Source organism: Homo sapiens, chromosome 2 (assembly GCF_000001405.40).
Source record: "Homo sapiens chromosome 2, GRCh38.p14 Primary Assembly".
NCBI lineage: Eukaryota > Metazoa > Chordata > Mammalia > Primates > Hominidae > Homo > Homo sapiens.
In genome coordinates this window covers 8388733-8402497 of record NC_000002.12, presented here as the reverse complement: position 1 = coordinate 8402497, position 13765 = coordinate 8388733, and the positions used below count along the sequence as shown (strand labels likewise).

Below are 13765 nucleotides of genomic sequence, written 5' to 3'. Positions count from 1 at the left end.
CCATGCCATTTACCTCCAGGAGAAGAGCTGAGAGGCACAGGGAGCTGGTAGGATGATCCCTGGTGAATTGGCACAATTATCATTGACAGTTGCCAGTTGGCACATGACCAGGCACCTGGGTGGAGAGGGCAGGTGGGGCAACATTGACTTTAATGAGCTTAAGCTTTTTAATGGTTTCTGAAAAATATATCAAATTGTGCCTGTGAGAGGCAGGGGAGAAGAGAACTGCATCATTCGGGGGACTCAGCTCCAGTGCCTCTTCCTGCAGAGCAAATGCACCATGCTGGGGCCAGGGCCACCCCTCTCCAGCTGTGCTGCAGCTTCAGAGGTGATCTCAGCCACCTGGAGCAACCCACCTCACCTGGCCAGCTTGCCACAGGGGTTCTGGCATTGAGGTTGTGAGATGATTGCATTGTGGATGTTTTGTGGTTGTAAAAGACAATACCCTCCTCTTCGTACCAACACCTGGGGTCTGCACATTCTTTTTCACAGGAATGGCTGAGCTGCATGGTGTGAGGCCCTCAGAGTCCGTGAGTCCCCACCGTGCCAGGCTGTGCGTGAGGTGTGCCTCCACGACAGAGTGGCCTACAAGGGGCCCTGTTAGGGTGTAGTTCTGGAGTCAAGCTGTCACTGCAGCCAGGGGCCACTGCTTTTCAGGCCCGGATTCAGGAATGGTGCTGGGGAGGCTGCCTGCTTCCTTCCTCCCTGCAGGCCTGGTGCAGGGAGAGGCTGGCAGATACAGGGTGGGCATGCACCAGGATCCTCAGGGGCCTTCCCCCTGTGTGCCTATGCTGGGACTGTTGCTGGAATTTTGAATTCTATGTGGCTGGGGAGTCCTTACAACCATCATTCGTAGCAAGTGAATCCAACCCTCCTTAATAAGTGGCAAAGAATCACGTCGGTGACTGGGGTAATCTGTTGGTGAACTCGGACCTGCCTGTCATTTGCAGTTTCACTGATGGCATCATTCAATGTTCCTAAAAGGGAAAGAAATAGTTCGAATCACAGGTACCAAAGTGAAAAATCAAGGTGTCTTGGCCTGTCCTTGCCCCTAATTCCTGAGCCACAGCTGTCCTCCCCAGCCTGAACCATCACCATCTAGTACGGGCTGCCTGGGCAGTTGGGGTGAGGGGCGGGCTCAGGGCAGCTGTTTAGTAAAACCAAGCTCTGGGACTGTATTTGGTTTGCCTCCTCCCATCTTCATTCCCAACTCCTAATGGTCTCTACTCTTCCCATCCTGGCCTTTCCCCTTCTGCCTGCACCCCGGAAGCCAGTCTGTTATAATGGGAGTGCTCTTAGGACAGCAGTGACTTCACGGGTACTGTAGCCCGGACTGGGCAAAGCGGCCTCCCCAAGCCCAGCAATGCTTCTCCTTCCCCCAGCTCCGTCCTTGTATGATATTACATGTCTGCGTTTGCCCAGGTCTTTCCTGGGACTGCCTGAGATAGTGTATGATTCAGTAGCGGAAACACTGCCTTTAAAACAAATTATAATTTGCATGCAGAACTTTGTAGGAGATGACCTACACAAGTGGCATTTGGTGAGTGCTGCCTTTGGAAGTTATTCTGTGGGGAGCTGATTCTGATGACTTCTGCCTCTTTGTGATCTAGGCGTAGTAGACACTGTACCAGCTGTGATTCTGGTCCAGAAGTGTTAGAAGCTAAATAAGACTCCAAAGTACACAGAAGGCAGGAGCGGACTTGGTCATGAGGTTGTGGGAGAAGAAGGGGAGGAATGGATGAGAGGAGAGCTTTGGTCTACGCAGGTGGCAGTTCGAGAAATTGTCATAAGAACAACTCAGGTGAATTTAGTATCAGGGAGGCGGGTGGGGGCGGGGGACGTGAATCAATGTGGATGGTCGACAGTTCCGTATTTGCGTCCTCCCATGAAATCCTCAGGAAGCCTCGCGAGGCCAGCAGTGCGATGTCCTTTTGCAGATGGAGATGTGGCACCTGGGGAAGGGAAGCCAGGCAGAGCTGGGCTTCTGGTTTGAGTCTACTTGACCCTGGTTGACAGAAGGGCTGGGCTTCCCAGTCTTGCTCCCTTGGGCCGAGTGGAGAAGGCAGGGGAAGAAAGGGGGAGAGAGGAGACCTGTGAGCAAGGAGTAAAACAAGGGCTTAACTGGTGCCTATCTACGGAGTTTGCTAACTCCCAACCTACAGAGCCCAGGGCTCACGCCATTCTGGTGCCAAGGCAGTGGAGCCCATCGCCCTGTGGTGCCAAGAGGCACCAGCACTCCTGCCCACACGCCCCCCGCCTCCAACCAGCTCCGTGTTGTCTTTCAAAGCTGTCAGACACCATCCAATGGTGGTCCCAGAAATGAAAAACTAAAGACCCGTTCCCATCCCAGCAGGTAACTGTCATTCATGGGCTGTGCAAAATACATCTCACATTTTTAAGTGCAGAACAAAATGAATAAAGTCAATTTGGAATTTAGTAAAAACTCCCTGGTATGCATTTTAAGACCTTGAGCTGTATACTGCAATGAATCTAAATTTAGAGACGGAAAATTAGAACAAAGCCACCTATTTATTAACTCAGCACTTTACAAGGAGCTGTGGTTGTGTTTTGGGTAGGATCACTGGACAGTTGATGCACGTTACTGTCCTTTTGAAACCATAAAAGTTACGTTTTCTTAAGCATCTGCCTTTGATGAACTTTCCTACGGGCTCTATTTTAAGAGTTGTGTTTCCCTCTCATCCTATTTCTATACTACATAGATATTTCCAGGGTTTTACACTCTTCCTTTATGGAAACAACTTGATTTAACCATGATTTATTTCAGTGTTCCTCAGGTACAGCAGAATTACTGGCTGCCAATTATCCCTTTATTAAGGGATACTCCATGGTTTATTTTAAAAGCATTTCTCCTTGTAGTGAAGCTGATACAACAAAAAGGCCTTTGTGGTAGTCAGGGTGATCTTAAACAAGAGGTATGCTGGACACTAAAAGCCGAGTGGCTTCCTTACTTGGAAACAAATGGTGAATGTTGCAAAAAGATATGGACTCAGAAGTGGTCCTTCTTGCTACTGACTGAGATGGAAGAACATCCATTAAGTAGTATGGCGCTGAGAGGTGTGACCCAATGCTTAATCAGAATAAAGATGGTGAAAGTGGGCATGTGTCTCCCTAGGTAGCCAATTCTTGAATTTTGCAAACTTTAAAAGTCAACTAAGTGTCTGAAGAGGGCAAATGGAAAGCAGAAGTCTTCATTCATTCATTCATCCATCCATCCTGTTTAAAAGATCTGTCCTATTGTTATTTAGGTGACATTGAGATTAAGCCAGAGTTTAGATATTTACTCATGTTTCACTGCAATTCCTCAACATCACATAGTCAGTGGGTAAGGAACGGTGGACCGAAGGGTCAGATGGCCACTGTATGTACTCATTCACCTTGGTCAAGTTCTTTAGTGTCTCTAGGGCCTCAGTTTCCCTGTCCTCAAGTTGCTCATAGTCCAGTCTGGGAGATAGAGAACAACCAAACAATGACTCAAAGAAAACAGACCAAATTGCAGCTGCTGAGAGCTTCAGAGGACCAGAGCATGGTGCTCTGAGAGGCTGCCACAGGGATCTGGTTGGGAGAGCAGGAGAGCTTCCAGGAGGAAATGATGCTGAACTGAGATCTGGAGGACAGGTATGAGCTAAGGGGGAAAGTGATCAGGAAAAGGCAATCTCAGCCAAGGGAGGAGCCTCGACAAAGGTCCTGTGGTCAGAGGGGGAAGATGAATGTGAGGGATGCGAGGCCAGTGTGTCTGAAGGGCTGAGTAAGTGGCAGGGACCAGAATGCATAGGGTCATATAGGCCAAGTTCAGAAGTTTTTTAAGAGCCACAGAAAGCCAGTGAACAGGCCTCAAGATGTGTGTGTGTATGTACGTGTGTGCATGTATGTGTGTGCATGTGCATGTATGTGTGTGCATGTGCATGTATGTGTGTGCATGTACACGTACATGTGTATGCATGTATGTGTATGCATGTACATGTGTGAATGTATGTGTGTGCATGTATGTGTGTGCATGTACGTGTGTGCATGTATGTGTATGTGTGTACGTGTGTGAATGTATGTGTGCACATTTAAGTGTGTGTGCATGTACATGTGTGTGCATGTGTGTGCATGTACGTGTGTGCATGTATGTGTGTGTATGTGCATGTGCATGTACATGTGTATGCATGTATGTGTATGCATGTACGTGTGTGAATGTATGTGTGTGCACATTTAAGTGTGTGTGTATGTACGTGTGTGCATGTGTGTGTGCATGTACGTGCATGTGCATGTATGTGTGTGCACGCACATGTGTGTGCATGTAAGCGTGTGCATGTGCATGTATGTGTGCATGTATGTGTGTGTGCATGTATGTGTGTGCGTGTATGTGTGTGAATGTATGTGTGCACATTTGAGTGTGTGTGCATGTACGTGTGTGCATGTACATGTATGTGTGTGTGTGCACATGTATGCGTGTAGGTAGGCTGGGTGAGGACCCGAGAGCATGATGTAATGCATGCTTGGTAGAATCACTGTGGCCACAGGTAAGAGAGAGCTGAGGGGAGGCAGGCAGATCTGGCAAGAGTCTCCTCAGCTGTCCAGGTTAAAGGTAACGGTAACTTGTGCAAAGGTGGTGGTATAGGATTGGAGAGAAATGCATGGATTTGAAGACGTTTGAAAGTCAAGCTCAGGACTAGTTCATGGTTGGATTACGGGCAGCCGGGAACTGAGGGGTAAAGAAGACCTGTGGGCTCTGACACCAGAAGTGGATAAATGTGGGGCCATCCCTGACCAAGCCTGGGAGACCTGGAAGTGGACAAGGATTCAGAGAAGGAGATTAGGTGTTTGGGTTAAGTGTTGGGTGTTTGCTGAGTTGCCTTTGGGAAGCCCTAAAGAAGAGGACCTGGGCTTGAACCTTGAGTCGCTGCAGCGCTGACTGGCTTGGAGAAGGTCTGTGAAGGCTGCAGACAAGGCCAGGCCGGTGAGGTAGCTGCTGGACAGAGTAAAAGAGGGTTTCTCAGGGGGAAATGTGGTCCACAGTGTTGAATGCCACCAGGAAGTTAAGTGAGATGCGGGAGAGAAATTTGGGGTTGGAGGTAGAGATACTGAAGACTTTGGCCATTTTTGATCATACCAGGACTTTATACAACACAATTATCAGGTCATATCAGAAAAGATTGCTTCTGATGGAGACAGGATTAAATAAGACAACCTCAGCAAAGTGCTGGTACATTGGAAACACTCAACACTCATACATAGAGAATTATCTGTCTCTTGTTTCTATAAGAAAGAGAATTCGTAGCAGGTTTCTGCCAGGTCTGTTCACCTTGGCCCTGTGGACATCCTGGGCTGAATGATTCCAGCCTGGGGTGTGCTGTGCATTGTAGGATGTCCAGCAGCATCCCTGGCCTTATCCAGGAGATGCCAATACATGCCCCTAAGATGTGGCACAAAAAGTGACATTGAGAAATGCCTCTGGGAAGGAGGCGCAAAATTGCCCCCAGTTTATTTGAACCACTGGTTTAAATAAAATCATTTTTAGAAATAAAATTAATAGGTTCATTTTTTGGTTATTTTTATAAACAGTTGTAAGGGCATGGAACCCTTGGTATGTCTATTATATTACAAACGTAAGTCATGGGCCGTGGAGAAAATCATTGATTTAGTACCTGAACATCCTAATTGCCACCAAATATGCAGCTACTCTGAGAAACAAAACTAAGATTGTGGAAGTGCTGACTCCAGATGTTTTCTAATTCTCTCGGAGGAATGAAAGCCTATAAAATTGATGCCATGCAGGAGAGAGAAGCCAGTTCTCCCCGGGGATGGCACAATCCATACCTGGCGGGCATGATCTGCCAAATGACACCCCGATTTGGGACTTATACTTTGCAACACAATTCTGTTAATATTTATAGACAGACGTAATGCCCTTTGGTATAAGAAATACATCTAAATGAACTTCACTAACAGGATGGTGCCCTGTCTCCCAAAACATATAATCTCCTTTTTGGGGTTGGCAAAGTTTGCAAAATAAATCTCATCCAGTGCCACACACTGAGTGCAGAATTTCTCTCTGACACCCTGTACCACTGAAGTGCCTAACGCCTTATAGCTGACTTCAGCAAACACATTTAGCAACCTAGTTAAAACCAAATAGTGTTATAGAGATGCTGTAACTTCTTTTTTAAGTTATAGCAGGACAGATTTAGGAAGGCAGACAATAAAAGTCCCGTGGTTGCTCATGGACTGTATGTTGCTGCAGAACATTAATGCGAGCACGCCAACCTAAGTGGCAGCCCGGGACAACTGGGCCTTCAGAATCCAGAGATCTTTTCACTCAGCGCTCCTTTGTGCCAGAGCAGAAGTCACTTCAATGTCATGTTATACTGTACAGTTTTGCAGGGTCATGTGTTGAATTATGTTTTTTCCCTAAATAAACTATAACAATAATTTCCCTATTAGGCTCTGATGGGATGCTCTGAGGAAGGGATGGCCTGGATGGGTGTTTCTCCCAGAGAAGCTGTTCACACCAGCATGGGAGCTGCAGACCCTTCAGGTGGACAGCTTACACAGTAAAGCTCTTGCACCCTTGAATGAGCAATCACATTGCCTTGTCTTTCTTTCTCTTAAGTTAGTTTAAAGAAGCCTTTCCCTTTTGTAGTACGAGGTATACACTTGAGCTAGTAGCTTATAGCTCCTTCCTTCCTTCCTTCCTTCCTTCCTTCCTTCCTTCCTTCCTTCCTTCCTTCCTTCCTCCCTCTCTCTCTTTCTCTCTTTCTTTCTTTTGTGACAGAGTCTTGCTCTGTTGCCCAGGCTGGAGTGCAATGGCACAATCTCTGCTCACTGCAAACTCCACCTCCTGGGTTCATGTGGTTCTCCTGCCTCTGGCTCCTGAGTAGCTGGGATTACAGATGTTTGCCACCATGCCTGGCTAATTTTTGTATTTTTAGTGGAGATAGGGTTTCACCATGTTGACCAGGCTGGTCTCGAACTCCTAACCTCAGGTGATCTGTCCGTCTCGGCCTCCCAAAGTACTGGGATTATAGGTGGGAGCCACCACACCCGGCCTCATAGCTCAATTTCTGTGTGGCTTCAGCCTCAGTGTATTGGAAATACAGAACATTCTGTATGGAAATCATGGGGGATCCGCTGTAGGATTAAAGGCAGAATAGCAAAAGAGAGGTGGCAGGAAGGAAAGAAGGAGGAATGGAAGAAAAAAGAAGGGGAGAGAAGGGAAAGGAGCAGAATGGAAAGGGGAGTTGGAAAGAGGAGGGGAAGCTATAGAGAGGATGTGTGTTTTGCAAACCTCGACTTTGCAGCCGCTGCCCAGCCTAGGCGGAGCTCTTCACATGTCTCTAGATTGGCATTCCAGAAATTGTCCTCATTCTCATGAGGACAGCGGTAACCCCCTCATGGGGTTGTCTGGACCAGGTGGGACATGAATTAATAGTCTTTTGGGAAAGCTGTTCCCATTCTGGGAATATCAGGATTTCTCCCTGGAATGAAGGGCTCCTTTCAACAGTGAAACTTTAGAGAGCCTCACAAACCTGAGGTCCACAGAGATGGTGTGACTTGCCCAAAGCCACATGCTATGTAGAGGTAGGCAGGAGGAATGAGGACCTAAGCTATGGACTCATCACAATAACACCTTGGGTTGATAATTTGATGTGGCCTTCCTAAAAGACAAAATGACAAGGGAACTCTGGGGCCGGCTGGCCATGCCGAGACAGCCAGACCTGGGAGCTTGGCCTGCCCACTGGTGTTGCGGCTGTGTAGCTGGCCTTCCCTGTGGGTTCCCTGGGACTGGCCTGAGATAGAATTATGAGGTGGCAGTGCTGCCTCTTCTGTATCCCCAGTGAGCTACCTACCCACACCTGCCTGTTCCCTATTCTCCCATCAATCTTTGCCTTAGAGATATCAGCTATTCGCGCCTTAGGGAGAGCTCAGGCCAGTTACCCCTCTAGGAGGCATTTGCACAGGAAGCCTTCCTCTGCATTTCATTCTGGCATTGACGTGAGCCTGGGAGAGCAGCCTTAGGGAGGTCCTTTGTGTCAGGTGCTGGGCAGGGGGAAGGTGAAGGGCAGGTGACCTCTGAGAAGCAGCAAGAGGCCCTGAAGCTCCCAAGCCCAGCTTCCCTGTGGCTCCCCACTTCCTCCTTCTCTCCTGCCTGACCTCATCAACTTCCCCCCCAAACAGACCTGGCAGCTGGAGACCCTCAGAAGGCTGTGGTCTGAGCTCTTGGCCTGTAGAGGGGGAAGGGAGCTGTGGGAGCGTTTCTGTTTCTGGAAGGTTGGTTCCCTTTGGAGCTTCTGACAAAGGACCACGCGTTGTATTCCACGGCTTCTCAAAGAAAGGCCACCCCACAGGCAGGTGCTGGTCACCCAGGAACAATGAGGTTGTCACCCTGCTTTTTCTGTGGATCAGCCATTGGAGCAAAAGCACAGGAAGGTGTTGGCAGCGTACAAAGTGATTTCCAAAGAAAGCCTTCACTTCGCATTTCCACATGCACAACAGTGAGCCTATTTCAAGGGAGAGACTCTTTGCTTTGCAAATGTGAATTTCTTGAAGAGAAACTTCTAATTTGTCAGATCCCTTTATTCTGGGGCTCTTCTGTATTTTCAAAGAATTTTTAAACATTGGCAAATATTTATTGAGCATGTAATACAGGCTACCTATCATGGGACCCCAAAGGAGGGTGACACAGGAGGTCCACAGGCAGTGCCTTCTCCAGCGGAGGCAGGAGGCCAGAAGCCCCTCAAGGCGGTGCTAAGCCACAGGCCTGAAGCCTTGCAGATCTGAAGCTCCAGAACCAGTTGTCTCCCCGCTGCCCCCACTATGGGGAATGGAGATATGACATCCTGGAACTCAGTTCCATCCAACCCAATTTCTTCAGGCCTAGCCAGGGTCCAGGCTCCAGAGCTAGGCCTGCGGGGTCCAGTCAACTCAAAGACCTGGAATCTCAGACAGACGCTGCTCACTCACTGACTGAACTGCTCGGGGACACCACTAGCATTTAAGTCACGGCTACCTCATTATGAGTTGCTTATGCTGGGCTGCAGTGTAGCTTTCCTTTGGATTAGAAACCCCATGAAGACAAGACTGCACACAGAAAGAGGTGCACTTCAGAACTAAAGTGCACCTCTTCCTGTTTCGCCTGCAAAGAAAGGGAACTTTCTTTTCCCTCCATTTTTTAATTTGCACAGTATTGGTTTCCATCTTAGAATTTGCAACTGTTTTAGCCTCAGAATAGTCTTGTACTCCTTGAAGTCCCTGGAGGTTTCCCAGAGCCTAATCCTCCTCCTCCTCAGTTGGTAACTGGGACCTGAGATTTGTTTCATGGAGTCTGTGATAGAACTTACATGAATGTGTTGATGTCTATGCTCCAGAATCATTCCAGAGCAATGGCCCGGGCCACTGAGTTTCAGGTAGCAGGACAGGTGGTCCTGGGGAGGGTGACAGGCCCTTCAGCTCACACCTCTTCAAATAAGTGGCTCCTCAGGTTGCCCTCCACACATCTTTCTCAATGGCGTCATTTTCTTTCCAGTGACAGTGACAGGGACTGGGAACCTGGGAGCTTCTCAGCATCTCCTTTTCACACTCTGCCTCTGAGCAGCTGGGAATCCTTACCCCTCCAATCTCCTGACTGCTCATCTCCCTGGAGCCAGGACCCTGAATCAGTATTCACGGCCTGTTAGTGGCTTGCAAGGCAGAGCAGACAGATGGACGTGCTCGGGAAGCCTATTGATCAGCCCTTGGTGTGACCTGCCCAGACCTGGTTCTGTTTCAAGCACTGATCACGTGGACAAGGTATGTGCAAGGCCCAGAAAACACCAAAGGGCAAGTGTGAGGCGCTGGATCAAGTCCCTTGAGGAGAGCAGGGCCAGGCGGGCTCTGGCCAGAGCCCCACCCCACGCTGTCTTGGGGTGTCTCACTGGCTCACAGGAACCTCCTGGGCAGGAAATGTCTGTGTTTGACCCTGCAGGCCTGGCCCTGGAGCTTGGACCCTGGTAGGGCCTGAAGGAATTAGGTTGGATTGAACTGGGTTCCAGGACCTCACATCTCCATTTCCCATAGTTGGGGGGCAGGGAGGAGACCCCTGGTTCTGGAGCGTCAGATCTGCAAGGCCTCGGACCTCTGGCTCAACACCCCCTTGAGAGGCTTCTGGCCTCCTGGCTCTGCTGGAGAAGGCATGGCCTGTGGACCTCCTGCATTCCCGAGGCAGGCTGCGTGGCTAGCATTTGGAGGCTGGCAGAGACTGGCTGATTCCTAACCAAAGATGCTGTTGGTGTCTTCTGATGGAATGTGACTTTCTTTGCCTAGTAGGTGTTATTCACAGGGATCCTTTAGTTAAGCAAATTTGCCTAGGCCCCCTGTTGGGTCGTATTTTTCTTTTTTCTTTTTTTTCCTTTCTTTTTTTTTTGTTTCAGGAGTCCTTAATTCCTCTCAGCACCATTTGAGATGAGCAACTACACAAGACAAAGACGAAAGGCTTTTTCAGCTCAAAAATCCTGTGATTCTTTGATTCTAAGAAGAGATTTTCTTACAAGGAGTTTGCCTAAGGTAAGAGAATTCTGACTGCCCACAGTATTAGTCACTAAGGGGTTTCCTGGGCAGGCTGGGCCCCCACTGGGACCCCACACATTAGCTCTTTTTGGGAGGGAGGCCTGTTCTTAAACTTCCTCAACACCTTCCTTCCCACAGTGTCCACACGGCTTGTGTCTCCTCCCAGCAGCCGGCCTGCTGGTGTGTGTGCTGTGTGTGGAGAGTGGCCTTAGGCCTGTGTTGTGAGTGATGTCTGCAGAGCATGGGGTTGATTTGGAAGAAGGTGTGATCCGAAGTTGTGTTTGACCTGAGCTCCTGTCACCCCTGAAGGCAGCAGAGGATCTCCTGTCAGTGACCCAGGAGGACAGCTTTCTGAAGGACATTCTGCCCATTGCACAGAGGGGCTTTTGTGATTGGTTTGCCCAGATGTGACTTTTTCCCCTACCTTTGAAGGCCTAGATTGGGTTTCCCATTTCTTGGCCCTTTGGAAAGGCCAATGGCTCCCTGTCTGACAGGCTGCCCTGAGCAGCAGGTGCTCCATTTAGACCCAGGCTGCCCCAATCCCAGCTCTGATCTGACTCTCAGCTCTGAGGCTCCATTGAGTCCCTGGGCCTCAGGGACCCTGTTCAGGCTTTGCTGATGGTGGCATCAAGTGACCTCCGAGCCACCTCCACGTTGGCTCAGACTGAGGAAACTGGTGATCTTGTCTTGCTGTTTGCAATACTTGAAGACAAAAACAGAACTTGTGCTGCATTCTCAAGAAAGAAGAGACAACTGTTCCTGTACCTCACTCTTGTAGATATCTGTATGAAGAAGCAGTGATGGGTGCATGCAAGCTAGGGAGCATCAAGGCTCCCACTGCGTGGGCGCCAGCTGACCCCTGACCTCGTTTTCATCTGTTGCTCTGGTCATGGCTCTGAGATCTGGGCAACCTGAGCCAGCTTGTGCATTCCTTACCCTTGTGCTTTTGCACTATCCATCCCTGTCCCCTAGAACTCCCTCCAGTACAGTCTGCTCCACCCCATCCCATCCCATCCCATCCCATGCCATCCCATCCCCTCACCTCACTCCATCCTACCCCATCCTACCACATCCCACCCCATCCCATTCCATCCCAGCCCACACCACCCCACCCCACCCCACCCCATCCCACCTCACCCCATCCCATTGCCTCATCCCACCCCATCCCATCACATCTCACCTTACCCCATCCCATCCCATCCCATCCCATCCAATCCCATCCCATCCAATCCCATCCCATCCCATCCCACCCCACCCCATCCCATCCCATCCTACCCCATCCCACCCTACCCCATCCCATCACCCCATCCCTCCCTATCCCAGATTTCCCATCCCATCCTACCCCAGGGCATCCCATCCCATCCCATCCTGCCCCATACCAGCCCTTCCCACCCTATCCCACCCCATCCCATCCCATCCCATCCCACCCCATCTCACCCCATCCCACCCCATCCAAAGGTATGTATTCTTGGGCTGCTACTGAACCTCTTAGCTTCTGTCTTCTCACCTATAAAAGGCGAATTGGCAAGGTCATCCCCTTTGGCAGGTAAGTAAATGCGGAGGACATAGTCCACGTTAAATAAATGACAGCGACTGCTGTTTCACTGGTTGTCATGCCCATGAGCAAGTCAGTACCTGTTCTCCCCACCAAGGACAAGCTAACCCTGCTACCCAGGTCCTGCTCGTGTCCTGAGCTCCTCCTCATACGTGCCACCAGACTTGGTTTTGTATCCTACCTGGGCTTCAGGAGAGAGAATTAAAAAAATCAAATTAGGTAAAATTGGAGTTAAATGATAATGATAACTTCTCAGCTACTTCAACCTCAGTTTCTGCCCTTTTTGAACTTGCCAAGCAGTGGAGGTATCTTAACAGGCCCGTTCTGTGACTGTTACCACTGTTCCCATTTTAATGCAGCTATTTGTGTACTAGGTACCTCTCTCCCATGAAGCTGTGAACTACTTAAAGCACAATAAAGAAAGGAAAGAAGGAAGGAAGGAAGGAAGGAAGGAAGAAAGGAAGGAAGGAAACAAGGCAGGCAGGAAGGAATAATTAATGAATAATACTGCATTCAGGAAACTAGACCCAGTATTTTCAAAGTGACTCATACCCAGCCATCCTCTCCTTTGCCAGTTAGCATTGATAATCTCCAATTGCTCAACCACTTGTTTCTTTTAATTTTAACAATCTTACAGCTGAAGCTATCTAAGATTTATTCAGGAGAATATATTTTGTAACACCTCCTTTTTCCTGTAAACATTGAAGGAAGGTTCGTGATATGGACCCTTGGCTGAAATTTGAAGGTGAAAAAGGACGGCTCCGTTCCTATTTATGGTGTGGGAGTGACTTTCCTTCACCACTAGCCTGGGTGAAGTTTAATGACTGACCAAGAGGGAAGTAATTCATTCTTCCTGTCATCCTATTTTATTCCCCTGCCCCTCACCTTGTGCTCTCTTTTCCTGCTCAGCTCCTATTCTGATCTTTCTTTGTCAAGGATGTTTCTCATGATTAAGTGCTTATATCTTCTTCTCCCCAGCATATTTGTTTGGATAGATTTAGGACAGATAAAATTGCTGAAAATTGCCTGGTTTCTGTTTTCTCTAGAGAGAAAACCCTGAAAGATTTTTAGCTAATGGCATTAGACCAGTTTCGATCACTGTAAGATTCTCTGGCTTTAGTTCTATAACCCTCCAGAAGTCTAGATCTTTTTGATATTAAAGAAAACATGCACACTTTGAGTGAGCTACTGAGTTCCATCGAATTGTTTCCATTTTACAGAGACTAAGGACAGGGGACCACTGGGAAGGCACATAAGGAAACAAAAGGGACTTTGACCCAGAGACTGGACCCTGAGTCTATATGAAATAGGAGGTGATGGTGTTACTAAGAATTTCTTGCTTTGAGCTAGTTTCATTCTGGGTGAAGTCTGTACTTGAAGTTCCTCTCCTAACCTAACGATGGTTGCAGGTGGGGCCAAAGTTAATGGAGAACCTGGACTAACAGCCTCACCACCTTGGATCACTTTCAGTAACCACCAGGCCTACCTGGAAGTGCAACTCTGGGTCATGTGGAAGTGAAAACTGCAGTGGTAGGCATCCAGTGTCTATTCTGGGGGCTCTGACTTGGTTCTCCGCTCACCTATCTGAAGGGCTGGCTTGGCATGGACTTATTTAGTGTCTTTCTTTATGGAACTCAAAAAGCCTTTATATGTAGCCTTATC

The 13765-nt window shown here is 48.7% G+C and overlaps 1 annotated feature.

Moving 5' to 3' along the window:
* Positions 9329-9874: an enhancer, noted in NCBI's record as "H3K27ac-H3K4me1 hESC enhancer chr2:8532754-8533299 (GRCh37/hg19 assembly coordinates)". NCBI's record gives its function as "activates a minimal SCP1, AML or CMV promoter by ChIP-STARR-seq in primed H9 embryonic stem cells {active_cell/tissue: H9 hESC(primed)}" and the evidence as "EXISTENCE:reporter gene assay evidence [ECO:0000049][PMID:30033119]".